Source organism: Homo sapiens, chromosome X (assembly GCF_000001405.40).
Source record: "Homo sapiens chromosome X, GRCh38.p14 Primary Assembly".
Taxonomy (NCBI): Eukaryota; Metazoa; Chordata; class Mammalia; order Primates; family Hominidae; genus Homo; species Homo sapiens.
Window position 1 is genome coordinate 54911085 of NC_000023.11, and position 27923 is coordinate 54939007.

Consider the following 27923-nt stretch of genomic DNA (forward strand, 5'->3'; position numbering starts at 1 on the left):
CCTACCCAGGTTCTTTTTTCTGCTTCCTCTGGCCAGAAAGATGGCAGAGAATCCCTCAGAGTTTTAGTCATGTGCTCTGCTCCAGTCTGTGAGTGGGACACACTCATGGCAAGGCTGAGAGGAGAAAAAAAACCCTGGACAACTTACCCTTATGCAGGTCACTTCTCTATGTTTTAACTCTCTTCCACAATCTGCCTGGTTTTAGTTACCTTGCAGAGTGCTTAGGCAGGTTTTCTTTTCTTTAAAAAAATTTGACCAGAATTTTTAGGTATAATTAATCAGTGTGGTGGTGCCTGTAGGGGGTTTATACTGCCATAGCTGAGTGGGAACTTCTAAGAGCACTGTATTTTAAATTTCATTCTATTTCTCACTTCTTTATTTAACATTATGTTGATAACTATCCATGTTGTTATATACAGATTTAATCGATTATCTTTTCCCACTGCATGAGATCATTGTAAGAGATCAAACGCAAATGCTCATACAACAATTTACATATTTATTCTGTGATTATACACTGCTAGGTTGCCCAAACTTTTTGCTACCACAAATAATGCCATGATAAACATCCTGTACATGTCACTTAGTAGGCCAGAAAGAGATCTTTTCTGGAGTGGCATTTCTCAGTTATAGTGTGAATGATTCTTAATTTCGCTAAATACTGCCAGATTGCTCTTCAAGATGACTTCACTGGTTTGCATTCTCAATTGAAGTACCTAAGGGTTCTTGTTTCCCCTCATCGGTTGACATAATCTGATTTGCTTATTTTTCCTATTTTATGGGTGCTGAATGAGGTCTCAGGCATCACATTGCCTGACTTCAAACTGTGCTATAAGGCCATAGTCACCAAAACAGCATGGTACTGGTATAAAAATAAGCATACAAACTGATGGAACTGAACAGAGAACCCAGAAATAAAGCCAAATACTTAAAAGCCAACTGATCTTCAACAAAGCAAACAAAAACATAAAGTGGGGAAAGGACACTCTATTCAACAAATGGTGCTGGCATAATTGGGAAGCCACAAGTAGAAAAATAAAACCGGATCCTCATCTCTCATCTTATACAAAAATCAACTCAAATGGAACAAAGACTTAAATCTCAGGCCTGAAACCACAAAAGTTTTAAAAGATAACATTGGGAAAACATTCTAGACATGGGGAAATGCAACAAAAACAAAGATAAATACATGCAACTTAATTAAACTAAAAAGCTTCTGCACAGCAAAAGAATTAATCAGTAGGGTAAACAGACAACCCACAGAGTGGGAGAAAATCTTCTCAATCTATATATCCAGCAAATAACTAATATCCAGAATCTACAAGGAACTGAAACCAATCAGCAAGAAAAAACAAACAATCCCATCAAAAAGTGGACATGAATAGACAATTCTCAAAAGAAGATATACAGATGGCCAACAAACATATGAAGAAATGCTCAACATCACTGATTACTAGGGAAATCCAAATCAAAACCACAATGCAATAACCAACTTACTCCTGCTAGAATGGCCATAATCAAAACAATAAAAAAATAGTAGATGTTAGCATGGATGTGGTGAAAAGGGAACACTTTTACACTACTAGTGGGAATGTAAAATAGTACAACCACTATGGAAAACAGTGTGGAGATTCCTTAAAGAACTAAAGGTAGATCTACCATTTGATCCAGCAATCCCACTACTGGGTATCTACCCAGAGGAAAAGAAGTCATTATATGAAAAAGACACGTGTGCACGCATGTTTATAGGAGTAAAATTCACAGTTGCAAAAATATGGAACCAGCCCAAATGCCCATCAATCAAGTAGATAAAGAAATTGTGATTTTATATATATATATATATAATACCATAAAAGGAGGTCTTAAAGATCATTATATATACATTTATATATGAATATATAATTATATAATTATATATAAAATAATAATATAATATCTATAATAATATAAGAATATATTATAAATTTATATATAATAATGTAATATATATTATAAATTTATATATAAATATTTATATATAATATAATATATACTATATATAAATTATATATAGTATATATAATATATAATACAATATAATATAATATATAATATGTATTATATTTATTATACTATATAATATACTATATATTATATAGTATACTATATAATATAATGTAATATATAAATTATATATATTTATATATTAGTATATAATAATAATTATATATTTATACACAAATATATATAATTATTATAATATATAATGACCTTTAAGATCTTCTTTTATGGTTATTGTATATATATAATCACAGTTTCTTTATCTACTTGTTGATCGATTGATGAGCATTTGGGCTGGTTCCATATTTTTGCAACTGTGAATTGTACTGCTATAAAAATGCGTGCACAAGTGTCTTTTTCATATAATGACTTCTTTTCCTCTGGGTAGATACCCAGTAGTGGGATTGCTGGATCAAATGGTAGATCTACCTTTAGTTCTTTAAGGAATCTCCACACTGTTTTCCACAGTGGTTGTACTAGTTTACATTCCCACCAGTAGTGTAAAAGTGTTCCCTTTTCACCACATCCGTGCCAACATCTATTATTTTTTATTTTTTTTGATTATGGCCATTCTAGCAGGAGTAAGTTGGTATTGCATGTGATTTTGATTTGGATTTCCCTGGTAATTAGTGATGTTGAGCATTTCTTCATATGTTTGTTGGCCATCTGTATATCTTCTTTTAAGAATTGTCTATTCATGTCCGCTTTTTGATGGGATTGTTTTTTCTTGCTGATTGGTTTCAGTTCCTTGTAGATTCTGGATATTAGTTATTTGTTAGATATATACTAATACGTATATCAGTATATATATACGATATACTAATACGTATATCGTATATATATACTATATACTAATACGTATGTCAGTATATATATACTATATACTAATACGTATGTCAGTATATATATACTATATACTAATACGTATGTCAGTATATATATACTATATACTAATACGTATGTCAGTATATATATACTATATACTAATACGTATGTCAGTATATATATACTATATACTAATACGTATGTCAGTATATATATACTATATACTAATACGTATGTCAGTATATATATACTATATACTAATACGTATGTCAGTATATATATACTATATACTAATACTATGTCAGTATATATATACTATATACTAATACGTATGTCAGTATATATATACTATATACTAATACGTATGTCAGTATATATATACTATATACTAATACGTATGTCAGTATATATATACTATATACTAATACGTATGTCAGTATATATATACTATATACTAATACGTATGTCAGTATATATATACTATATACTAATACGTATGTCAGTATATATATACTATATACTAATACGTATGTCAGTATATATATACTATATACTAATACGTATGTCAGTATATATATACTATATACTAATACGTATGTCAGTATATATATACTATATACTAATACGTATGTCAGTATATATATACTATATACTAATACGTATGTCAGTATATATATACTATATACTAATACGTATGTCAGTATATATATACTATATACTAATACGTATGTCAGTATATATATACTATATACTAATACGTATGTCAGTATATATATACTATATACTAATACGTATGTCAGTATATATATACTATATACTAATACGTATGTCAGTATATATATACTATATACTAATACGTATGTCAGTATATATATACTATATACTATACGTATGTAGTATATATATACTATATACTATAAGTATGTCAGTATATATATACTATATACTAATACGTATGTCAGTATATATATACATATACTAATACGTATGTCAGTATATATATACATACACTAATACGTATATTAGTATATATATACATATACTAATATGTATGTGAGTATATATACTAATATACATATGTATACTATATGTATACTAATATGTATACTAATATACATATTAGCATATATACTAATATACATATTAGCATATATACTAATATACATATTAGCATATATACTAATATACATATTAGTATATATACTAATATACTTATACATATTAGTATATATACTAATACACTTATACATATTAGTATATATACTAATATACTTATACATATTAGTATATATACTAATACACTTATACATATTAGTATATATACTAATACACTTATATATATTAGTATACACACTAGTATATATATCTATATATCTGGATATAAGTTATTTGTCAGATATATAGGTATATATTATATGTTATATTATATATTATATATATAGTCAATAATAATTTAATTGTACATTTAAAAATAAGTAAAAGAGTATATATATCATGATATATTATATAATATATAATATTAAGTAATATATACTTTATATTATATATAATCACAGTTTATCTACTTGTTGATTGATGGGCATTTATATATACACACACACTCACACACACACACACACACACACACACATATATATATATATATATATATATATATATACACACCATAGAATGCTACCCAGCTGTAAAAAGGTATGAAATAATCACATTCTCAGCAACCTGGATGGAATTGGAGACCATTATTCTAAGTGAAGTTAACTCAGGAATGGAAAGCCAAACATCATCGTATGTTCTCACTTAAGTGGATGTTAAGCTGTGAGGACGCAAAGGCCTAAGAATAATACAATGGACTTTGGGGACTTGGGGGAAAGGTTGGGAGGAGTTGAGGGATAAAAGACTACACATTGGATACAGTGTACACTGCTCGGTGATGCATGCACCATAATCTCAGAAATCACCACTACGGAACTTATTCATGTAACCAAACACCACTTCTTCCCTTAAAACCTATTGAATTTAAAATTAAAAAAAGAAATACAACTGATTTTTGTATGTTGAATTTGTTTCTTAGTTATTTTTTGTGGATTCTTTATCTACATATAAAGTTATGTGGTCTGCTAACAGGGACAATTAAACTTCTTTTTTTTCCAAATTGGATTACATTTCTTTCTCTTGCTGAGGATGTCAGTACTATGTTGAATATAAGTGGTGAGAGCAGGCATACTTGCTTTATTCCTGACCTTAGAGAAAAGGCTTTCCACTTTTCACCATTGAGTAGGATGTTAGCTATAGGTTTGTTGTATATGAGCTTTATTGTATTGAGGTACGTTTCCTTTTATACCTAATTTGCTGAGCGCTTTTTCTTAAAATCAAGAATTATTGTTGAATTTTATCAACGCCTTTTCTGCATCTACTGAGATGATCATGTGGTTTCTGTCCTTTATTCTGTTAAGGTATTCTATCACATTTAGTGATTTGCATGTGTTGAACCATCCTTGCATCCTTGGGATAAATCACACTTGATCATGATGAACGATCTTTTTAATATGGTGTTGAATTTGGTTTGCTAGTATTTTGCTGAGGAGTTTGCATCTATGTTCCTCAGGGATACTGGTCTGTAATTTTCTTTTCTTCTAGTGTCTTTGTCTGGTTTTGGTGTCAGGGTAATTCTGGTTCTGTAAAATGACTTTGGAAGTGTTTCTTTCTCTTCAATGTATTGGTAGAATTTGAAAAGGATTGATATTCATTCCTCTTTAAATGTTTGGTAAAATTCAGCAGTGGATCCACCAGGTCTGGAGATTTTCTTTGATGAGAGACTTTTATCACTGATTTAGTCTCCTTTCCCATTACATATCTGTTTAGATTTTCTATTTCTTCAAGCTTAAGTCTTGGTAGGTTTTATGTGTCTAGGAATGTATCCATTTCTTCTAGGTTATCCAATTTCCTGGCATATAATTGTTCTTAGTATTCTCTTAAAATCTTTTGCTTTTCTGTGGTATTAATTGTAATGTCTCCTCTTTCATTTCTGATTTTGAGTCTTCTCTTGTTTTTTCTTAGTTGATCTAGCTAAGGGCTTGTCAATCTTATTTATCTTTTCATAAAACCAACTCTTGGTTTCACTGATTTTTTTCCTATTGTTTCTCTAATCTCTACTTCATTTACTTCTGCTCTGATCTTTATTATTTCCTTTTTTCTACTAATTTTGAGCTTATTTGTTCTTTTTTTTCCAGTTCCTTGAAGTGTGATGTTAGATTGTTTGGGATCTTTTTTCTTTTTGATGTATGTATTTATTGCTATAAACTTCGTTCTTAGAAGTGCTTTTGCTGCATTCTATAAGTTTTAGTATGTTGTATATACATTTTCGCTTGTCTCAAGATATTTTAAATTTTCCCTTTAATTTCTTCCTTGACGTATTGGTTATTCTGGAATATGTTTTTTGATTTCCATATATTTATGAATGTTCCACAATTCTTATCATTAATGATTTCTAGTTCCATACCACTGTGCATATATTACTTGATGTGATTTCAATATTCTTAAATTTGTTAAGACTTGTTTTTGTCTGTCACTTTGAAAAAATTCAACAACCTTCATGCTAAAAACTCTCAATAAATTAGGTATTGATGGGATGTATCAAAATAATAAGAGCTATCTATGACAAACCCACAGCCAATATCATACTGAATGGGCAAAAACTGGAAGCATTCCCTTTGAAAACTGGCACAAGACAGGGATGCCCTCTCTCACCACTCCTATTCAACATAGTGTTGGAAGTTCTGGCCAGGGCAATTAGGCAGGAGAAGGAAATAAAGGGTATTCAATTAGGAAAAGAGGAAGTCAAATTGTCCCTGTTTGCAGATGACATGACTGTATATCTAGAAAACCCCATTGTCTCAGCTCAAAATCTCCTTAAGCTGATAAGCAACTTCAGCAAAGTCTCAGGATACAAAATCAATGTACAAAAATCACAAGCATTCTTATACACCAATAACAGACAAACAGAGAGCCAAATCATGAGTGAACTCCTATTCACAATTGCTTCAAAGAGAATAAAATACCTAGGAATCCAACTTACAAGGGATGTGAAGGACCTCTTCAAGGAGAACTACAAACCACTGCTCAATGAAATAAAAGAGGATACAAAGAAATGGAAGAACATTCCATGCTCATGGCTAGGAAGAATCAATATCGTGAAAATGGCCATACTGCCCAAGGTAATTTATAGATTCAATGTCATCCCCATCAAGCTACCAATGACTTTCTTCACAGAATTGGAAAAACTACTTTAAAGTTCATATGGAACCAAAAAAGAGCCCGCATCACCAAGTCAATCCTAAGCCAAAAGAACAAAGCTGGGGGCATCTCGCTACCTGACTTCAAACTATACTACAAGGCTAGAGTAACCAAAACAGCATGGTACTAGTACCAAAACAGAGATACAGATCAATGGAACAGAACAGAGCCCTCAGAAATAATGCCGCATATCTACAACTATCTGATCTTTGACAAACCTGAGAAAAACAAGCAATGGGGAAAGGATTCCCTATTTAATAAACGGTGCTGGGAAAACTGGCTAGCCATATGTAGAAAGCTGAAACTGGATCCCTTCCTTACACCTTATACAAAAATTAATTCAAGATGGATGAAAGACTTAAACGTTAGACCTAAAACCATAAAAACCCTAGAAGAAAACCTAGGCATTACCATTCAGGACATAGGCATGGGCAAGGACTTCATGTCTAAAACACCAAAAGCAATGGCAACAAAAGCCAAAATTGACAAGTGGGATCTAATTTAACTCAAGAGCTTCTGCACAGCAAAAGAAACTACCATCAGAGTGAACAGGCAACTTACAGACTGGGAGAAAATTTTTGCAACCTACTCATCAGACAAAGGGCTAACATCCAGAATCTACAATGAACTCAAACAAATTGACAAGAAAAAAACAAACAACCCCATCAAAAAGTAGGTGAAGGACATGAATAGACACTTCTCAAAAGAAGACATTTATGCAGCCAAAAAACACATGAAAAAATGCTCACCATCACTGGCCGTCAGAGAAAGGCAAATCAAAACCACAATGAGATACCATCTCACACCAGTTAGAGTGGCAATCATTAAAAAGTCAGGAAACAACAGGTGCTGGAGAGGATGTGGAGAAATAGGAACACTTTTACACTGTTGGTGGGACTGGAAACTAGTTCAACCATTGTGGAAGTCAGTGTGGTGATTCCTCAGGGATCTAGAACTAGAAATACCATTTGACCCAGGCATCCTATTACTGGGTATACACCCAAAGGACTATAAATCATGCTGCTATAAAGACACACGCACACATATGTTTATTGCGGCATTATTCACAATAGCAGAGACTTGGAACCAACCCGAATGTCCAACAACGATAGACTGGATTAAGAAAATGTGGCACATATACACCATGGAATACTATGCAGCCATAAAAATGATGAGTTCATGTCCTTTGTAGGGTCATGGATGAAATTGGAAATCATCATTCTCAGTAAACTACTGCAAGGACAAAAAACCAAACACCGCATATTCTCACTCATAGGTGGGAATTGAACAATGAGAACACATGGACACAGGAAGGGGAACATCACACTCTGGGGACTGTTGTGGGGTGGGGGGAGGGGGGAGGGATAGCATTAGGAGATATACCTAATGCTAAATGACGAGTTAATGGGTGCAGCACCCCAGCATGGCACATGTATACATATGTAACTAACCTGCACATTGTGCACATGTACCCTAAAACTTAAAGTAGAATAATAATAAAATAAAATAAAAAAGACTTGTTTTTGGCCTAACTTATGATCTATCCTGGAGAATTTTCTATGTGTGCTTGAGAATATTATATATTCTATTGGATAAAATATTCCGTAGGTCCTTTTTGTCTAAAGTGTATTTCAAGTTCAATGTTTCCCTATCGATTTTCTGTCTGGATGATCTGTGAATTGTTGAAGATGGGGTCTTGAAGTCTCCTACCATTATTGTATTGCAGTCTACTTCTCCCTTCAGATCTATTAATATTTGTTTTATATATTTAGGTGCTTCTATGTTGGGTGCATATATTAAATATGTTTATAATTATTCGATATTCACGATGAATTTATCTCATTATCATTATATAATGACCTTTAAGATCTTTTATGGTTTTTGACTTTAAGTCTATTTTATTTGACATATGTGTAGTTATCCTTGCTCTCTTTTGAATGATTGATGGAATAGATAAATGTCATGAATTGTTTTCTGCATGGGGGCACAGTGCACCATGTCACAAGAGACAGTCTAAGTACAAACTGATATTGTTAAAACATCAATATAGTCATTGTGGGATCAATAAAAACTTTTCATAGATTTTTATACATTACTGTTTTTATTCTGAATTGCATAAGATGGACGGGCACCCTATCTTTTAGTGTTTAGAACCTCTAAATGTTTTAATGTGGTAACACTTGAAAAACAGAAATGAATATGACCTAGTCCCCTGCTCCAGAGCAGCTCTAGGGAAGAGAGACATAGACACAAGGTATAACAACACTATGTAAATAGTGTTGGGATAGAGGGTCTGTAGGAAGGGTTGGTGTGGGAGTTCAGAGAACTACATTCCTCCTAGGGGAAACAGGAGAATCAAATAGGAACGGAGATACAGAGTGGGGAATAGAGAAGTCAAATGGAGAATAAGAGGGAGTGATAACTGAATAGGGGTAGTAAGAAGAAAAAGGGAGCTACATTGAGGAGAATGGAAAGTTGAAAGTAGGTATGGAGGGGAGGAGACTGACAGGCAGGAACGGAGACCCCCCTCTGGAGGCGGAAAGAGGCAGGACCACTTCCGGCCAGGGAGGGGGATAGGCTCAGACACAAGGAGAGGCTTGGAGAGAGCAGACGCCTTCTGGATTCAAGAAGACGAGGTGAGCTGAGGTACCTGGCTTTAGTGAAGACCCTGTGGGGGCTTCCTGGCTGCGGCTTCGACGTGCCTGACTCCACACGCCCCTAAGGTTTGAAGAAAACCTGCTGGAGGTTTGGGACCTAACCGCATCAAAGTCGCCTTTAGCGGTGCCTGGACCCAGTTCGCACGGGAGGAAGTAGGAGGCAGAATCCCCTTTGGGCCACAGAAAGTAACGATCTGGACTCGGTTCGGGCCGTGAAAGGGAGGGATGCAGACCTAGTTGGGACCGCAGAAAGGAAGGATCGAGAAATCCTTCAGACGGTAGCAAGAGGGGAGGAGGATACACACAGTTCGGGAGGGAGATAGGAGACGGCAGGACTCCGTTTAGGCTGGAGAAAGGGGGCAGTACCCCGTTTGGGCCACAGAATGGAGGGATCGGGACCCAGAGATAAGAGTGGGCAGCATCCCTTTTGAGCAACGGAAAGGACCAGACTCAGACAGGAGAAAGGAGGGGATATGACCCGGTTGGTTCCGGTTTGAAAGGGAAGAGACAGGACCTGGTAGGGTTTGAGAACAGGAATACACAGAAGGTTCATACAGTTGGATTTGGGGGTGAGGTATTCATGTTGCAGAAAGGGCGGAGCTGCACACTTGCAGACGTGGAAAGAGGGGGGAGTGGTGTTGGTTGGGGAAGGGGTGGTGCAGAGACGTACCGCAGAGCGGAGGGAGGGGGCTTATTAAAGGAAGGGAAGATGAAGAGAAATGCTGCAGAGCGGAGGGAGGGGGGTGTATTGGGAAGGGGCGGTGCGTGGCAGTACCGCAGAGGAGAGATGGGCGGTGTTGGGGTAGGGGCGGTGCGGAGTGGTACTGCAGAGCGGAGGGAGGGGGCTAGTGTTGGGGGAAGGGTTGGATCGAGATGTGATGCAGTTAGAAAGAGTGGGTCGGGGTGGCGCCAAGATGTTCTGTTGCTCTGAGAGCAGGGGGCAGATGTGGGATTGAGCTGGTTAGAAACTGTCCGGTTTACCAAGGCGCATGCGCGCGGAGGGCATTGAAGAATGGTTCTTTTGGGATAGAGGTGGGCCTAAGATGGGGGGTGGGGGCGCCTCTAGTCGGTGCGCATGCGCACTATCGAGTTGCGGAGGGGGCGTGTAAAGGGGTGGGGTCGTAGAACTGACTCTCTCGGAGGCAAAAGGAGCTGGGCCTTGGAAACCAGATGGCCTGGGTTTTTTAGGTATGAAAACCCAGGAGTTGAAGGGATTAGGGCCCAAGGTTACATGAGACTCCCCTAAGTCAGGATAGGTGAGATGTCTGATGAATCTCCCCCTCCCTCTCATTCTCTAACTCAGGCCCATTCCCCTCAGGCTCACCTGTTACTCGGCCTCCCAGAAAGATGGATAGGAGAAATGACTACGGATATAGGGTGCCTCTATTTCAGGTGAGGCCTCTCTGCATTCTCTCTAGGCCATCTGCCCCATCCTGAGTTCACTTACTGCTCTTCAGACCCCTTCCACCGTGTAGTTTCATAATTCCCTGCCTAACTCGTCTCAGTCCTCCCTTACATGGTGAAGGAGAGGAGAGGAAAACCTGCCTGACTCTATTCCTTCCTTGCTCCCTACCCCATTTTAATTAACCACTGCTCAGAGGAAGGGAAGGCCTTTGTGGAAAGGGATGGGCTTTAGCGAGGCCAAATGGCCCAGAGGATGGTAATCCTAAGTGTGTAGGGCCCTCTGCCTCCCCCGGGGAGCCTGGGGCTTCCCTTCCCTCCAGATATACAGACTGAGACCACAGAAGAGGACAGTGTCCTGCTGATGCATACCCTGTTGGCGGCAACCAAGGACTCCCTGGCCATGGACCCACCAGTTGTCAACCGGCCTAAGAAAAGCAAGACCAAGAAGGCCCCTATAAAGACTATTACTAAGGCTGCACCTGCTGCCCCTCCAGTCCCAGCTGCCAATGAGATTGCCACCAACAAGCCCAAAATAACTTGGCAGGCTTTAAACCTGCCAGTCATTACCCAGATCAGCCAGGCTTTACCTACCACTGAGGTAACCAATACTCAGGCTTCTTCAGTCACTGCTCAGCCTAAGAAAGCCAACAAGATGAAGAGAGTTACTGCCAAGGCAGCCCAAGGCTCCCAATCCCCAACTGGCCATGAGGGTGGCACTATACAGCTGAAGTCACCCTTGCAGGTCCTAAAGCTACCAGTCATCTCACAGAATATTCACGCTCCAATTGCCAATGAGTCAGCCAGTTCCCAAGCCTTGATAACCTCTATCAAGCCTAAGAAAGCTTCCAAGGCTAAGAAGGCTGCAAATAAGGCCATAGCTAGTGCCACCGAGGTCTCGCTGGCTGCAACTGCCACCCATACAGCTACCACCCAAGGCCAAATTACCAATGAGACAGCCAGTATCCACACCACAGCAGCCTCCATCCGAACCAAGAAAGCCTCCAAAGCCAGGAAGACAATTGCTAAGGTCATAAATACTGACACTGAGCATATAGAGGCTCTAAATGTCACTGACGCAGCTACCAGGCAGATTGAGGCCTCAGTAGTGGCTATCAGGCCCAAAAAATCCAAGGGCAAGAAGGCTGCCAGCAGGGGCCCAAATTCTGTCTCTGAGATCTCTGAGGCCCCACTTGCCACTCAGATAGTCACAAACCAAGCCCTGGCAGCCACCCTGCGGGTCAAGAGAGGGTCTAGGGCTCGGAAGGCTGCCACTAAGGCTCGGGCAACTGAAAGCCAGACTCCAAATGCTGACCAAGGGGCCCAGGCCAAGATAGCCTCTGCTCAGACCAACGTAAGTGCCCTTGAGACTCAGGTTGCTGCTGCTGTCCAGGCCCTGGCAGATGACTATCTGGCTCAGTTGAGCCTGGAGCCCACAACCAGGACCCGGGGCAAAAGAAACCGAAAGGTGAGATCTCTGACATTGCCATCCTTAACTTTGTGCTTCTTTTCCATTTCTACCCTTCTAGTTTGTTCATTTCTTCTATAAAAGTTTTACTTTGAGCTAGTCCCTGTGTTCAGATAGGCTGTGGAAGATGCTGAGAAGAAGGTGATATAGTTTCTGCTCCCTAGCAGTTCACAGATTGGTGAGGAAATAAGACATCCATACACTCAGCTACAACCTGTATGTAATACTACTTGTATTTAAATAGTAGTTACCACGTGCCAGGCTTTGTGTTGGGTACAGTTACACAGGGTATGTCTGAATGTCTTGAAAGTAACTCTTACCAACAAGGGATCATAGGTCCCAGTTTTACACTTAAGAAAACTGAGTCTCAGAGAAATGAAGTGACTTGTCCAAGAGGTACCAGCCAGCATAATTGGTGGTAGCCAGAGGAAGAGAAAGACCCTTAGGCTCTTATCTTGAGTTGTTCCTGGCCTGGCAGAGGAACGAAACTCCTTCCTGGAAGACAGTGAAAGATAAGCTCAGGACTCAGGGTGGCCAATGGCAAGGTCAGGATCAGGCTCCACTACAGCAAGGCTGAGGGAGGGGGTTAGAGGGACTTTCTGTCTGGAGCAGGCAAGGTGAGGAGACAGAGCCATCTCTTTCACCTGGTGACTCTGGACCTTCCTTCTTTCTGATGATGAAGTCCAAGCATCTGAATGGGGATGAGAGAAGTGGCAGTAATTACAGGCGGATCCCATGGGGCCGGAGGCCTGCACCACCGCGAGATGTGGCCATTTTACAAGAAAGGGTAAGAATCCAATGCTGTCCAGTCTCTTCTCTTCTTCACTTGCCCTCTTCTCTGCCTCCTTCCAAGTTTTCTGCAAGCATGTTAAGATCTCTCCATCTATTCCTCTCCTCCCAGGCTAATAAGTTGGTGAAATACCTGTTGGTTAAGGACCAGACAAAGATCCCCATCAAACGCTCAGGTAGTGTCCTACCAACCCTCCTCCTTGAGCTCTCCTCTCCACTCCCCTCTCCTCCCATAGTCTGGGAGTAACACTTTATGGCCTCTTTGTTCTGTCATATCTCCACACCTGCCCTCCTTGCACTCTGCCATGGCTGGCATCTCCCATTAACTCACTTCAGGTCTCTGATTGCACTGACCCAACAGGACTGGCAAAAGGGCTGCAGCTCTGTGGCCCCTGCTAAGCTCAGCTACTCTCACCTCTCCTTTTCTACAGACATGCTGAGGGATGTCATCCAAGAATATGATGAATATTTCCCAGAAATCATTGAACGAGCAAGCTACACTCTGGAGAAGGTGAAGGGGCAGTGCTGGCGGATGGGCGCAATGGGGAAGCTTTGAATCGAGCAAAGACATACATGTCCCTTTTGGAGAGAATCACAGAAACATGCTAATCCAGCCCCATTACTGTGTGAATGGGCAGACAGTGGCCTAGGGAGAGGTGTAGATTTGCCATGGGTCACACAGCATGTCAGTGATGAAAACATGGCTAGGACAGAAGCCACTCAAATTAGTCTCAGCTTCTATTCATAGTTGGACATATTCTGCATGTATTTCAGATCTCACCTCTCCCTTGTATCCCCATTTTCTGTCTCCCTAGATTCCTGCTCATCACAAAGATGATGTTGATGACAATAGTACATTTGCTGTGTGTTTACTGGGTGCCAGGCACTTGGCTATGTGCTTTATGTGCATTATCTCACTGACTTCTTACACATGCAGACCCCCTAAGTACACTGGGAGTTTTAGGATGCCCGGAAAGTTCACTGATACCTAAGCTGAATTTTGTGATCTCACAGGCTATTCTTTTACTTGGCAGATGTTTCGAGTCAATCTGAAAGAAATTGATAAGCAAAGTAGCTTGTATATTCTCATCAGCACTCAGGAATCCTCTGCAGGCATACTGGGAACGTAAGCTGGGAAAGGGCTGGAGTGGGAAGGAAGCTTCTGCTTTTATCTGTGCTGCTACCCCTTCTTTGTCCTACTTCCCCCATCCTCTTAGAGAGTCAGGAAAAACAGGGTCTCAAAAGCCCTGTCTCAGCACCTGCACATAGTTGGAGCCCTGCTCACAGTAGTGGCACCTGATTATGATTGACTGAAGGGTATAGGAGCCTAGGGTGGGACATTCCTGCTGTCAGGTTTGCTGTCTCTGTAGAAGCTTCCCAGGAAAGCAGGCCTGTCATTGCTTGCCTCTTCCGATGGAGTGCCTGGCCTGGCTTTGACAGAGTGGTTCTCAAGGAGGGCTTCCTGGTGTGGCTGGATCAGTATGCATGAAGCGCAAGAGTGTCAGTGGGGCTGAAGGTTCTGGGAGAGAAAGAAGGGACTCACATTGACTGAGTGCTTGTGTTGTACCAGGTTGACAGCCATTCTTCCATCTTCTTGGCAACCTGAGGAAGGGAGAATATGATTTTCCCATTTTACTGAATAATAGACCAAGGCTTGCAAGGTCTAAGTGCCTTGCCCAGGGTGGCATAGAGCTGGAAGCAGAGACTGGGCAGAATTCTGTATCTGAGGAATCTGGGAGAGGTTAGCCTGGTGAGCTGGCTGGTGTATCTTTTGCGGATGGCTGCTGAAACATAAACCTTCTTTCTGTCCTGTTGAAACATAAACCTTCTTTCTGTCCTGTTATTCCCTTAGGACCAAGGACACACCCAAGCTGGGTCTCCTCATGGTGATTCTGAGTGTCATTTTTATGAATGGCAACAAGGCCAGTGAGGGTGAGTGGCTGGGCATGCAGCTGAATGGGCGGCCATGGTCTGGATTCCATGTGTTCAATTTCTGTCCCTGTCTCCTCTTGCCTCCCCTCACAGCTGTCATCTGGGAGGTGCTGCGCAAGTTGGGGCTGCGCCCTGGGTATGACTGGGCTCTCTCAGCGCTTGCTGTCCGTGTTGTCCTTTGGCAAGAGAGGATGGTCCTAGGATTGCATCAGTCTGGTGGTCTGGTGGAGCGGGTGGGGTGCTGGACTGGGTAGAGGGCCCAGGGTTCTGACCTGGGTGGATGACGGGCAAATGGTCCTGAACTCTCTGCTGTCTCTCTCCTTAATGTCCTCTGTCTGTTCTAAGCTGAGATGTTAGATAGACCTTCAGGGATCCCTGACAAAGAGGCATCTGGTCTTAACTGCTTGCTTCTAGTGGCCATGTGCTCATTACTTTCTTCACTTCATTGAGACTGCCCCATGTGCTAGAGAGGTCTCTTCCATGTTGGGAAATGCCTCTGCCCTCATCTGGGCAGTTCTGATCTGTGTTCATGGGTTATTTTTCCCATTGTCAGGGTGAGGCATTCACTCTTTGGGGAAGTGAGGAAGCTCATCACAGACGAGTTTGTGAAGCAGAAGTAAGTGGTGTTTGGGGCTTTGTCTGGCCCTGAAGTGTTCTGGGTATACTGATCTGGTTCAGAAAGTGCTTAGTCAGTGCCTTTCTTATACTAGCTTTAGAGGGATGGGCATCCTGTGTCCTAGAACTGATACTGTCTAAAATTCCCATGGGCAGACCTTTCCAGGACTGGGCCAGACTCAACACAAGGCCCTTGCAGTGGGGTGCGCTCAGAGCAGAGGGCCTTAAGAATGGCTCCTCTGTTTACAACACACCCAACAGGAATCTGGGCTTACTCCTCACAGGTGGCATGATACTTTGGCCTTCCTGTGACATCATGCCCTATACATGTCTCCCCTGGAGAAGCCCAAGGGACTGCTTTGCACAGGGCCAGTGGGAAATGGCTCAGTATTGGAGGCCAAGACCATAAACTGTGTTTGGTAGTGAGTCTGGGGCTGGAGGGTCTTAGAAATCCCTCTCCAGGGGCTGTTTGTATTTGTTTGGAGGAGGTTGCCACCTGGTGTCTAGTGCTTAGACAGCAGGGTTGCTTGGTTAGAAACAAGTTTCATTTCCTTTTTCCAAGGTACCTGGAGTACAAGAGGGTCCCTAACAGCAGACCACCTGAATATGAGTTCTTCTGGGGCTTGCGCTCCTACCACGAGACTAGCAAGATGAAAGTCCTCAAGTTTGCATGCAGGGTAAGAGGAGAGCTGCCCGAGCTTGGCATATTAAGGCAATGGGATACCCTTGGCTGGGGCAGGCAATGCACAGGGATGGGCAGGTACAGAGCAGCCTGCAGCTCATATATAAACATGTGGAGCCTCCTTTATGTCCCAGGGTGCTGCTAGATATATAGTTTACATCATCTCATTCATTCTTCATACTTTGTATTAATCAGCATGGGCTGCCATAACAAAATACCATAGACTGGGTGGATTAAAAAACAAATTTATTTTCTCATAGTTCTTGAGGGCGAGAATCCTAGGTCAGGGTCCACGAGGGTCAGTTCCTGTTGAAGGCTCTCTTCCTGGCTTGCAGATGGCTGCCTTCTTGCTGTGTCCTCACATGGCTTTGTGTGTGAGAGAGAAGAGAGCAAGCTTTCTGGTGTCTCTTCTTATAAGGACACTAATCCTGTTGATCAGGACCCCACCCTTATGGCCTCATTTAACCTTAATTATCTCCATAAAGGCCCTATCTCCAAGTACAATCACACTGGGTGTTAGGGATTCAACATACGAATTTGGGGGCGGGCACAACCCTTCAGTTCATAACATATTTACGCTCTATCATTTCCTGTAATTATAAAGACACTTAGGCTAAGTGAGGTTAAGTAACTTGTCCAAGGTCATATAGCACGTAAGTCAGCAGAGCTGAAACTGGAGTTCAGAACTGACCCATGATAGAGCCCCAATAACTGAGAAGTTTAAAAAAGTATTGCTACTAGTTTAATACAAAGCCCGTAGGTTAATACATGATTACTAGGGTTGTTTTCTTATTATGATTATCATCCCCATTTCAGGTGCAGAAGAAAGACCCCAAGGACTGGGCTGTGCAGTACCGCGAGGCAGTGGAGATGGAAGTCCAAGCTGCAGCTGTGGCTGTGGCTGAGGCTGAAGCCAGGGCTGAGGCAAGAGCCCAAATGGGGATTGGAGAGGAAGCTGTGGCTGGGCCCTGGAATTGGGATGACATGGATATCGACTGCCTAACAAGGGAAGAGTTAGGCGATGATGCTCAGGCCTGGAGCAGATTTTCATTTGAAATTGAGGCCAGAGCCCAAGAAAATGCAGATGCCAGCACCAACGTCAACTTCAGCAGAGGAGCTAGTACCAGGGCTGGCTTCAGCGATGGTGCTAGTATTAGCTTCAATGGTGCACCCAGCTCCAGTGGTGGCTTCAGTGGTGGACCTGGCATTACCTTTGGTGTTGCACCCAGCACCAGTGCCAGCTTCAGCAATACAGCCAGCATTAGCTTTGGTGGTACACTGAGCACTAGCTCCAGCTTCAGCAGCGCAGCCAGCATTAGCTTTGGTTGTGCACACAGCACCAGCACTAGTTTCAGCAGTGAAGCCAGCATTAGCTTTGGTGGCATGCCTTGTACCAGTGCCAGCTTTAGTGGTGGAGTCAGCTCTAGTTTTAGTGGCCCACTCAGCACCAGTGCCACTTTCAGTGGTGGAGCCAGCTCTGGCTTTGGAGGCACACTCAGCACCACGGCTGGCTTTAGTGGTGTACTCAGCACTAGCACCAGCTTTGGCAGTGCACCCACAACGAGCACAGTCTTCAGTAGTGCGCTTAGCACCAGCACTGGCTTTGGAGGCATACTCAGCACCAGTGTCTGTTTTGGTGGCTCTCCCAGCTCCAGTGGTAGCTTTGGTGGTACACTCAGTACCAGTATCTGCTTCGGTGGCTCTCCCTGCACCAGCACTGGCTTTGGAGGCACACTTAGCACCAGTGTCTCCTTTGGTGGCTCTTCCAGCACCAGTGCCAATTTTGGTGGTACACTAAGTACCAGCATCTGCTTTGATGGCTCTCCCAGCACTGGTGCTGGCTTTGGTGGTGCTCTCAACACCAGTGCCAGCTTTGGCAGTGTGCTCAACACCAGTACTGGTTTTGGTGGTGCTATGAGCACCAGTGCTGACTTTGGCGGTACACTAAGCACCAGTGTCTGCTTTGGTGGCTCTCCTGGCACCAGTGTCAGCTTTGGCAGTGCACTCAACACCAATGCTGGTTATGGTGGTGCTGTCAGCACCAACACTGACTTTGGTGGTACACTAAGCACCAGCGTCTGTTTTGGTGGCTCTCCCAGCACCAGTGCTGGCTTTGGTGGTGCACTCAACACCAATGCCAGCTTTGGCTGTGCCGTCAGCACCAGTGCCAGCTTCAGTGGTGCTGTCAGCACCAGTGCTTGCTTCAGTGGTGCACCAATCACCAACCCTGGCTTTGGCGGTGCATTTAGCACCAGTGCTGGCTTCGGTGGGGCACTTAGTACCGCTGCTGACTTCGGTGGTACTCCCAGCAACAGCATTGGCTTTGGTGCTGCTCCCAGCACCAGTGTCAGCTTTGGTGGTGCTCATGGCACCAGCCTCTGTTTTGGTGGAGCTCCCAGCACCAGCCTCTGCTTTGGCAGTGCATCTAATACTAACCTATGCTTTGGTGGCCCTCCTAGCACCAGTGCCTGCTTTAGTGGTGCTACCAGCCCTAGTTTTTGTGATGGACCCAGCACCAGTACCGGTTTCAGCTTTGGCAATGGGTTAAGCACCAATGCTGGATTTGGTGGTGGACTGAACACCAGTGCTGGCTTTGGTGGTGGCCTAGGCACCAGTGCTGGCTTCAGTGGTGGCCTAAGCACAAGTTCTGGCTTTGATGGTGGGCTAGGTACCAGCGCTGGCTTCGGTGGAGGACCAGGCACCAGCACTGGTTTTGGTGGTGGACTGGGCACCAGTGCTGGCTTCAGTGGCGGACTGGGCACCAGTGCTGGCTTTGGTGGTGGACTGGTCACTAGTGATGGCTTTGGTGGTGGACTGGGCACCAATGCTAGTTTCGGCAGCACACTTGGCACCAGTGCTGGCTTTAGTGGTGGCCTCAGCACCAGCGATGGCTTTGGCAGTAGGCCTAATGCCAGCTTCGACAGAGGACTGAGTACCATCATTGGCTTTGGCAGTGGTTCCAACACCAGCACTGGCTTTACTGGCGAACCCAGCACCAGCACGGGCTTCAGTAGTGGACCCAGTTCTATTGTTGGCTTCAGCGGTGGACCAAGCACTGGTGTTGGCTTCTGCAGTGGACCAAGCACCAGTGGCTTCAGCGGTGGACCGAGCACAGGAGCTGGCTTCGGCGGTGGACCAAACACTGGTGCTGGCTTTGGTGGTGGACCGAGCACCAGTGCTGGCTTTGGCAGTGGAGCCGCCAGTCTTGGTGCCTGTGGCTTCTCGTATGGCTAGTGAGGTTTCAGGTAACTGCAATATTTCCATAGCCAGGACCCACAGGGATGGGTACAAGAGCTGGGAGATGTTGTAAGAAACACTAAGGCAGGACAGCAGGGTGGAAAGGTGAGGGCAATTAAGGAATTATGAGAAGACAGTGTATTTGGTGCTAAAATGTGTTCCTATTTGTTTTGTTTTCAGATTTATTCCCCATGTTTACAGATACCGCTAATAAATTGCAGTAGTCCTTCCCATGGAGCCAAAGTACATCCTTGGAATCTTTGTCCACACAGCAGTCAAGGCAGTTATGGCCAATCAGCTGAGGGTGTCATGTGATGGAAAAATCTGTTTGCTGTTCCTGCTTTATTGTTTGCTTTCTGTGTGCTGTCATATTTTGGTATCAGAGTTACATTAAATTTGCAAAATGAATTGGAGTTTTTTCTGTCTTTTAATGTGCTTAGGTAGTTGTGGAGTGGCATCTTGGGTTCGTAGAAGAGCTGGAGATCAGCATAGCTCTTTGGAGAATGTGGGTCTCCAGCTTTTGGCTCAAAGGCAAATATGATTTCAGCAGGATAGAGGCCTGGGGAAAGCATGGCAGGCAAGAGGATAACAGGTTGAGGAAAGATATGGAGAGGGAAAGCCTGGAGCAGAAGGCAAACGGAGAGGCTTCTGGACAGTAAGTACAGATTGATTTTGAATCACTGGTGTAAGAATGGAGGGAAGGGCAGAGGTCACTAGGGGTGGACATAAGAACAAGGGAGGGTTTAATTGGGATAGGAGAGGAAAACTTGGGCATATTGTATAGACTGTGGGGCAAAAGCTAACAGGAACAGGAGATAGATATGGAAGAGTCAGGAATTGACTGAAGTAGCCCATCCCTGAGAAGGTGGGATGGAATAGGGTACCAGAGAAGACAACCCTGACTTTGAACAGACTTAAGGGTGGCTGTGGATGCAGATAAATATAGATCTGCTTCAAGCAGGGATCAGCAACTTCTGTAGTAGACAACAACAACAACAAAAGGAGAGGTGGATTATACAAGGTTTAGGTCTTGCTGGGTGGTTGTGATGGAAGGACAAGGGAACAAAGGCAGCAAGTGTATGAGTCTGTCTCTTTACCACTGGGTCACTGGTACCTGGCTTATGGTAGCTGCCTGGAGAGTGGCTGAAGAGATGGCCCATAGTATCCAACATAGTTAGGGACAGAACACTAAGGATAGATTGGGGGACAATAGAGCATTCAAAGGACTCTGCTCTTGATGCTGTACAGCAACAAATATTGTTCATTCAAAAAATACTACAGGGCTGGGCACAGTGGCTCATGTCTGTAATCCCAGGACTTTGGGAGAGGCCAAGATGGGAGGATTGCTTGAGCCCAGGAGTTCAAGACCAGCCTGGATAACATAGTAAGACTTCGTCTCTACAGAATAATTGAAAATTAGCCGGGCATGGTGGTGTGCACCTGTGGTCCCAGCTCCTTGTGAGAGAGGCTGAGGTGGGAGGATTGCTTAAGCCCAGGAGTTTGAGGCTGCAGTGAGCTGAGATTGCACCACTGCACTTCAGCCTGGGTGACAGAGTGAGACCCTGTCTCAAAAAAAAAGAAGAAAATACTACATATATGCCTACTGTATGGAGGCACACTGCTAGGGATTCAGTGGATGACAGAGAGTTGTAAGGACTGGGGTAGTGGGTGGGCAGTGGTCAGACAGTTGGATGCTTACGTTTAAGAAGTCAGACCAGGGAGATGATACCAAAATCCATGGAGTAGGTGGTTGAAGGGGAGAAGATGATCACTGGAGTTGAGGGGGTCAGGGGACTGTGAGGCCAGAGTATTGGTTGGATCATTCACATAAACAGTGAAATCACTCAGGATGGCAGCAAGAGTTGGAGAAGAAAGGAGCACTTGGCTCAAGTGCCAGATTCTTCCCTGAGTATAAGGATGAAAGTGTCATGCCCACAGCCACCTTGCTGGAACAAGGCCCACAGGAACTCACAGGCACCTATCTTCTCCCCCATCTTTGGAGGTGCTACTGTAGAACTTTTCCCTCCAGGAAATCCTCACCCATTCCATGCCCTCACAGCAGCAGAGCTGGGTCAGGATTAGGGTCAGTACCTTGAGAACAACTGGAAAAGCCTCGCCATGACCTCCTCCTCTCCTCTTGTAGGCAGTAAGTCTTTATTCGTCAGAGAATAGGAATTAAGAAAGAAAGTTTCCTCCAGAGCTAGATAGCTCCTTGGTTGCGGCCAGCAAGCGAGGCTTGTTTGGGAGTTGCGGAGGACTTCTTCACTGGAAGTGGGGTGCCTCAGTGAGGCCAAGGCAGAGTAGGAGAAGAGCAAAGATAGCATTTCCTAAAGGTGGAAGGCGATGAGGACACAGGCAGTTTGACTTCTTGGAAAGGGCTCAGTAGTGGGCTGGGACAGTATCCAGGGCTTCCTCAGGTTCCCGGGTGATGTCCACATTCTGAGGAGAGAGCGCAGGATTAATAGGAAGGAGACAGCAGTGCAGGGCCCCAACCTCTCCCCTGCCTCTTGTCTTCATTGCCAGGCTCCCCTCTTTCAGCCAGGCCCGGATCCTGACCCTCAGGTAGGCCTGGGGGAATCTCAGCCTGAGGCCTTTTAGGCGGGAATTGCCCCAGCCTTGCATCTCCATGGTGCCTCGTGTCTGGGTTGTGGTTTCTGCATTTCTGGGTGCTGTTTGCTCCATCTGTTGGTGCAAAACACCCAGGCTTGGTGGGGTTGGGGCAGCCTTTCTGTGGATAAGGTGCTTTCACCATGTGCTGTGTCCACAGCCAGCTTGGGCCATGGAGTCCCCCACCTACCTCAGGCTTCTCCCGGTGTGTGTTCACGGCCTCCACATTCAGGTAGATGGATTCCACTTTGCAGCCTTAGAAAAGAACAATCCATCTGTCCATAGGCCCCCAAGGTAGGCACAGGTCTTCCCTGAGGTATCACCTCCCCTCCCCCATCACCAGCCACACCCCCAGCTTCATACTGTGTACAGATCATGACTCGCCTGTATGGAGGAGAATTTAGACAGCTATGTGATGTGTGGGGAAGACACCAGGCCTAAGAGGCAGCCAACAGGGTATCCTGTCACCTCTGCCCCTAACAGTCTTAGTTCGCTGAGCTTCAGGTGCTCATTTGTAAATGGGGATGGAGATGAGAGATGAACTCTGGCTGCCCACAGCTCTTGAGGTCCGCAGGACAGCAGTCTCATCTATGTAATATTGATGTAGCTCTGCGGATCCTCCAAGCCGTGTTAGGTGGTGAAGAGGTGGAAGAGTCCTGGGGCCACTGCCTTGGGCGATCAGTGCCAGGCAAAGTTTATCTGGAGGACAATGTGGTTGTGGCAACACCAGGAGTATGGAAGTTCACCTGGGAGTTTTAGGAAACCTGAAGACGGATGAGGGTGCATCATTGGGGCTTGGGGCTGACAGAGGGGGCCTAATGCCTGTGGAAGCTCCCTTAGCTTCATCCCTGTGGACTGCACCTTACTCCAGGCTTCAGTAGGTCATCTGCCCTGTTCGCACCCCAGAATAGATTTGATTCTGTCCCTCCCCTGTTCATGAACCTTTCATAGCTAATGTCCCAAGAAAGACCCTAAACTGCCCAGGCTGGTCTTTGTGCTCTTTCTCCAATACGGCCCTAACCTATAATTTTCCTCTGGTCCCCTTTGGGGAATCCCCCTTCCACAGCTTGGTGCTCTGTGCTGGGTGCTCTGGCAAAGACACAGAGTCAGAGCCAGCCCCAGATTTAGAAACCATCCTACTCTTTCCCTGTTATCCTACTACCATCAGTCCCACCCCCACCACCCACTAAGGGAACCTCCTGCAGGACACCCACCCAGGAAACCTCCTGCAGGACTCTTCTGGGCAAATGGTAGGCACTAGGGCCATGCTCATAGCCTCTATATGCCTGTCCTTTGATCAGGGTGGGAGTACTTACCATAAGCCACAGGAGTGAGTTTGAGCACTGTGTGCAGAGGGCACTTGAGATATGGAAGCTCATCTAGAAAGGAACAGGAAGCAGCCCTCAGAGGCAGGGTGCTGGCCAGGACACAGCCTCCCCAGGCCCCCAGGCTTGCTGGATGCTCCCCATTCCATGTCCCCTTGCCGTGGTGGGGCCTCACCAGGGGCCCACTCCCCACACCCTGCAGGGGCAGCACTGAGAGCACCTGGGAAGAGAGGAGGAGAGCAGGGAGGCAGGAATGCCTTGGAAAATGGTGGTAGACTGGACTGGGTGTCCTGCAGGAGGGTTGGGCCGGCCACCCTGGAGACGGCCACCACCTCACTCACAGGACAAATGAGACCCAGGCAGGCTTCTCTCCCGCCCCAAGCCTGGGGCCTTCAGCAGACCCCACACCACAAAGGCCCACAGTTCACGTCAGCAAGTGTTTTTTGAGACCCTGCTGTGGCAGTGGACAGCTCCCACAGCCTTCTCCCAGCCTGGCCCGCTCCCTCTGATCATCCCTGCCTCAGGCCTGGTGATGGACAAGCATTTGTGCATTCACTTGTTTCCAGTTATTGACATTATGCATAAAGTTGTTCTGAATATTCATATGCATTCTTGTCTGGGTCTATGTTTCCATTTCTCAGGCAAGCCCAAGAGGTGGGGACAGTAAGCCCATTTCATGGTCTCAGCCAACTGAGGCCTTGAGAGGGAAAATGCTCTCCGCAAGTCACACAGCCAGGAAGCAGCAGAGCAAGGCCTTGAACCTGGGACCCTGTGAGGCCAGAATGCATGCACTGGCCCCTACTGTCAACTGCCCCTGCCATCCAGGGGCTTGCAGTGTCCTGGGGGTGATAAACCCACCTGCTAGGCACTCTCTCCTGACACCCACTTTCCTGCCCACCTGCACATAACGCTACCCATTTCCCTTCATTTTGCAGGATCACCGACCCTCATGGCTTCCCTCAACAGCAGGTTCCACCCTAGGTTTCTGAGGTCTGCCACTGCCCTCCCAGCCTCCTGAGACATTAGGTTGGCTTTTTTCCTTCCTGGGCATCCATCCTGCTGCTCCTCCTTGTTTTTGTCATCATCAGGCCCTGGGCCAAGGGTGTTTTGCCCACTACCTCATGACACCCTTAAAGCTAGATTGAGGTACTACTGTACACCCTCCTTGTACACTTGAGGAAACAGACTCGGAGAAGGGAAGTGACTTGCCTGAGATCTCTGACCCAGCTCTGCCACTGCCTCCACTAATGACCTTGGCCCGGGCTCTTCTCTCTCTGGTCCTCAGTGTTCCCATTTCACAGGACAGGATTGGACTAGATGTACTCTGAGGGTGCCCCAGCCCTGATGTTCTGTGGGTCTGCATTCTCAGTCACATCATCTCTCTGGGCCTTGTTCCAGCATTCACCTAAGTAATGGGGTGGGTGGGGGGGTGAGAACATCTGTCCAGTGCTGCCCTGTCTGGCTCCCAGGACAGGTAGCCTGTGTGTAAAAAGCACTCCACACATGTCTGAGACGGGAAGTCCTCTGGCATGTACCTGGGATCAATGTCTATCCCTCACACTCTGAGCCCCATGACCTTGTGCCAGTCACTTCACCTTTCTGGGTCTCCCATTTCCTCATCTGGACAATGGGAGTTACAGCACCTGCCTCATGGTCTCAAAACATTGCCCTGAAAAGTAAAGATGTGAACAGAGAGAAATCTACCAGTGCAAGGACCCCCACCGCACATCCTATCACCTATTTCCAGTGAGGAAACTGAGGACCAGGCAGAGGAAATTCCTTATTTAATGTCAAGTTCTCAAGTGCCCTGGGTTCCAATTCTGGATGACTCCATATTACAGTGTTCTTTATTTTCAAACTAGCATCGTAGAAAAGATCCAAGACTGTAAAACAGTGTAGACATTGAATATAATTTTGCATTGCTCTGAGACACCTTAAAAATATCCTGGAAATGCTAACACATCAGCATCCACATTGGAAATGGAATCTCATGCCTGAAAGTGATATAACAGTTTTTTTTTTTTTGCCAGGCCAGCTGCCCCAGTTTGCAGTTCAGCCTATGCAGTCAGTGTGTAAATACTCTGTAAATGCAATGCCTACATATTTTTTTAAAAATAAATTATCATTTGAAAAACAATTTAAAATGAAAACATCACTATCTTGGGGAAATTACCCCTATAGCAAGGACAGAAACTTGTAATCAGGATCATGAAGCTATGAAAGGCCCTACTATCACCTGATGGTAGCATGCTTCACAGAAATACTAGCTCATCTTTTCCAGATTGAGGCAGACTGTTAACGTTGGCTTTGAAAATGTTAGCTAAGAATAATACTATACTAATAATAGCAGTTAATATATAGCCCACACAATGTGTCATGAACTGTTCTAAACTTTTTACTTATGTTATTTAAAATTCATCATTATTCTCCCCATTTTACAGATGAGGACACTGAGGCCAGAGAAGTTAAAGAAATTTGTGAAAGGCAGTACAGCTAGTATGTGAAAGAGAAAGAATCTGAACCTAGGCATCCTTGTTCTAGATACTCTTCTCTTAACTACTAAGATATAGATATCTAATTGTTGGTGTCAGTGTCTCAAATACCATCAAACATTCCCAAAGCAGAGATGAGGGTAGTACCTGAACTTTTATCCAGGAAATAGGCCAGGAGGCACCGCATGACAGCCTGGTGGCAGATCACCAGTACATTCTCCTGTCGTTCTAGCTCCATTATCACTGGCTCCAGACGCTGAACCAGATCCTCATAGGACTAAACGTAAGAGAGATACTTGAGTGAGAAAGGAAGATGAGGCACATTTGCCCAGAGGGGAAGAACTCTAAACTAGGAATCAAGAACATTTGGTTCCAGTGCCAGTTCAATTGTTGACCCACCAGTATGACCTTAGGCAACTCACTTCCTTCTTAGGGTCTTAGTTTCATTATCTGCTAAATGGGGGCTATCAATATAGTGGACCAAATAAATGTATCAATACAGTGGACTAAATAACAATAACAACAATACAACTCCCCACTGCAAATTGTCTTCTTAAATGCACTGCTGACCTTTCACAAAAATAAAGAAAATTTTATAAATATAGGGCCCCAAAATAGAGAAAAACGGAAAAAAACAAGTGATAAGTGGATGTAGCAGCCACAGCTGCCCTGCAGGCATTTGCCAATCATAGTAACTAAGAGTTTTGAGTTTTAAAAACCGTACGGAAGTAGAAGACAAGGCCTTGGGTGTGCACAAGGTGGGGAGTTAAGACTGAGACTCTCACATAAATCTGAGATGCTCAAAGGCCAAATCTTTACGCTCTAAGTGCAAACTAGAAAAAGTTCCTTAACAAGCAAAAAGAAACAACAAGAAAATGTGTCTGTCTCTCCTTGGCTCTCAGGGGAAATAAGTGAAAATCCTCCTGTATCAAATTCACACATAACAATATTAACCTTAAATGTAAATGGGCTAAATGCTCCAATTAAAAGATACAGACTGGCAAATTGGATAAAGAGTCAAGACCCATCAGTGTGCTGTATTCAGGAAACCCATCTCACATGCAGTGACACACATAGGCTCAAAATAAAGGGATGGAGGAAGATCTACCAAGCAAATGGAAAACAAAAAAAGGCAGGGGTTGCAATCCTAGTCTCTGATAAAACAGACTTTAAACCAACAAAGATCAAAAGAGACAAGGCCATTACATAATGGTAAAGGGATCAATTCAACAAGGAGAGCTAACTATCCTAAATATATATGCACCCAATACAGGAGCACCCAGATTCATAAAGCAAGTCCTGAGTGACCTACAAAGAGACTTAGACTCCCACACAATAATAATGAGAGACTTTAACACCCACTGTCAACATTAGACAGATCAATGAGACAGAAAGTTAACAAGGATATCCAGGAATTGAACTCAGCTCTGCACCAAGCGGACCTAATAGACATCTACAGAACTCTCCACCCCAAATCAATAGAATACACATTCTTCTCAGCACCACACCGCACTTATTCCAAAATTGACCACCTGGTTGGAAGTAAAGCACTCCTCAGCA

The 27923-nt window shown here is 43.9% G+C and overlaps 2 protein-coding genes and 1 non-coding gene across 31 annotated transcripts in view, besides 1 other annotated feature; 2 read left to right on the plus strand and 1 right to left on the minus strand.

The window, feature by feature from the left end:
• TRO (trophinin) lies at positions 9740–20347 on the plus strand. Of its 20 annotated transcripts, NR_073148.2 has the most exons (14): positions 9740–9794; positions 11134–11207; positions 11494–12684; positions 13367–13471; positions 13586–13649; positions 13905–13984; positions 14508–14599; positions 15326–15405; positions 15499–15541; positions 15959–16021; positions 16583–16697; positions 17519–17626; positions 19657–19947; positions 20120–20347. NR_073148.2 is itself a non-coding variant. In XM_017029770.2 (13 exons), the coding sequence occupies exons 2-13, from the start codon at positions 11163–11165 to the stop codon at positions 20252–20254; spliced, it is 2121 nt and encodes a 706-aa protein (XP_016885259.1). In that variant the 5' UTR covers positions 9740–9881; positions 11134–11162; the 3' UTR covers positions 20255–20347. The 20 variants fall into 20 exon arrangements, 18 of the variants coding, with proteins under 18 accessions (XP_016885259.1, XP_016885258.1, NP_001034794.1 ...); NR_073149.2 differs by lacking the exon at positions 11494–12684; XM_017029770.2 differs by lacking the exon at positions 19657–19947 and having other exon boundaries at positions 9740–9881.
• SNORA11G (small nucleolar RNA, H/ACA box 11G) lies at positions 16221–16351 on the plus strand. The gene has a single exon (NR_145717.2). It is a non-coding gene; the product is annotated as a small nucleolar RNA, H/ACA box 11G (small nucleolar RNA).
• The window catches only part of PFKFB1 (6-phosphofructo-2-kinase/fructose-2,6-biphosphatase 1), a 65829-nt gene continuing 59782 nt past the window's right edge, over positions 21877–27923 (minus strand). For 9 of the 10 annotated variants that reach the window (NR_073450.2, NM_001271805.2, XM_047442158.1 and 6 more), the window contains 4 exons: positions 26511–26640; positions 23863–23925; positions 22737–22801; positions 21877–22378 (listed from right to left, as the gene is read on the minus strand). Coding sequence is in view for 9 of the 10 variants with exons in the window: in NM_001271805.2 (NP_001258734.1) it covers positions 22319–22378; positions 22737–22801; positions 23863–23925; positions 26511–26640 (318 nt within the window). In the remaining variant the exon portion in view is untranslated. The other variant, XM_017029577.2, reaches the window with a different exon arrangement.
• Positions 24878–25039: a silencer, noted in NCBI's record as "fragment chrX:54962395-54962556 (GRCh37/hg19 assembly coordinates)". NCBI's record gives its function as "represses an EF-1alpha promoter that drives an FKBP-Casp9 reporter gene in an ReSE screen in HepG2 liver carcinoma cells {active_cell/tissue: HepG2}" and the evidence as "EXISTENCE:reporter gene assay evidence [ECO:0000049][PMID:32094911]".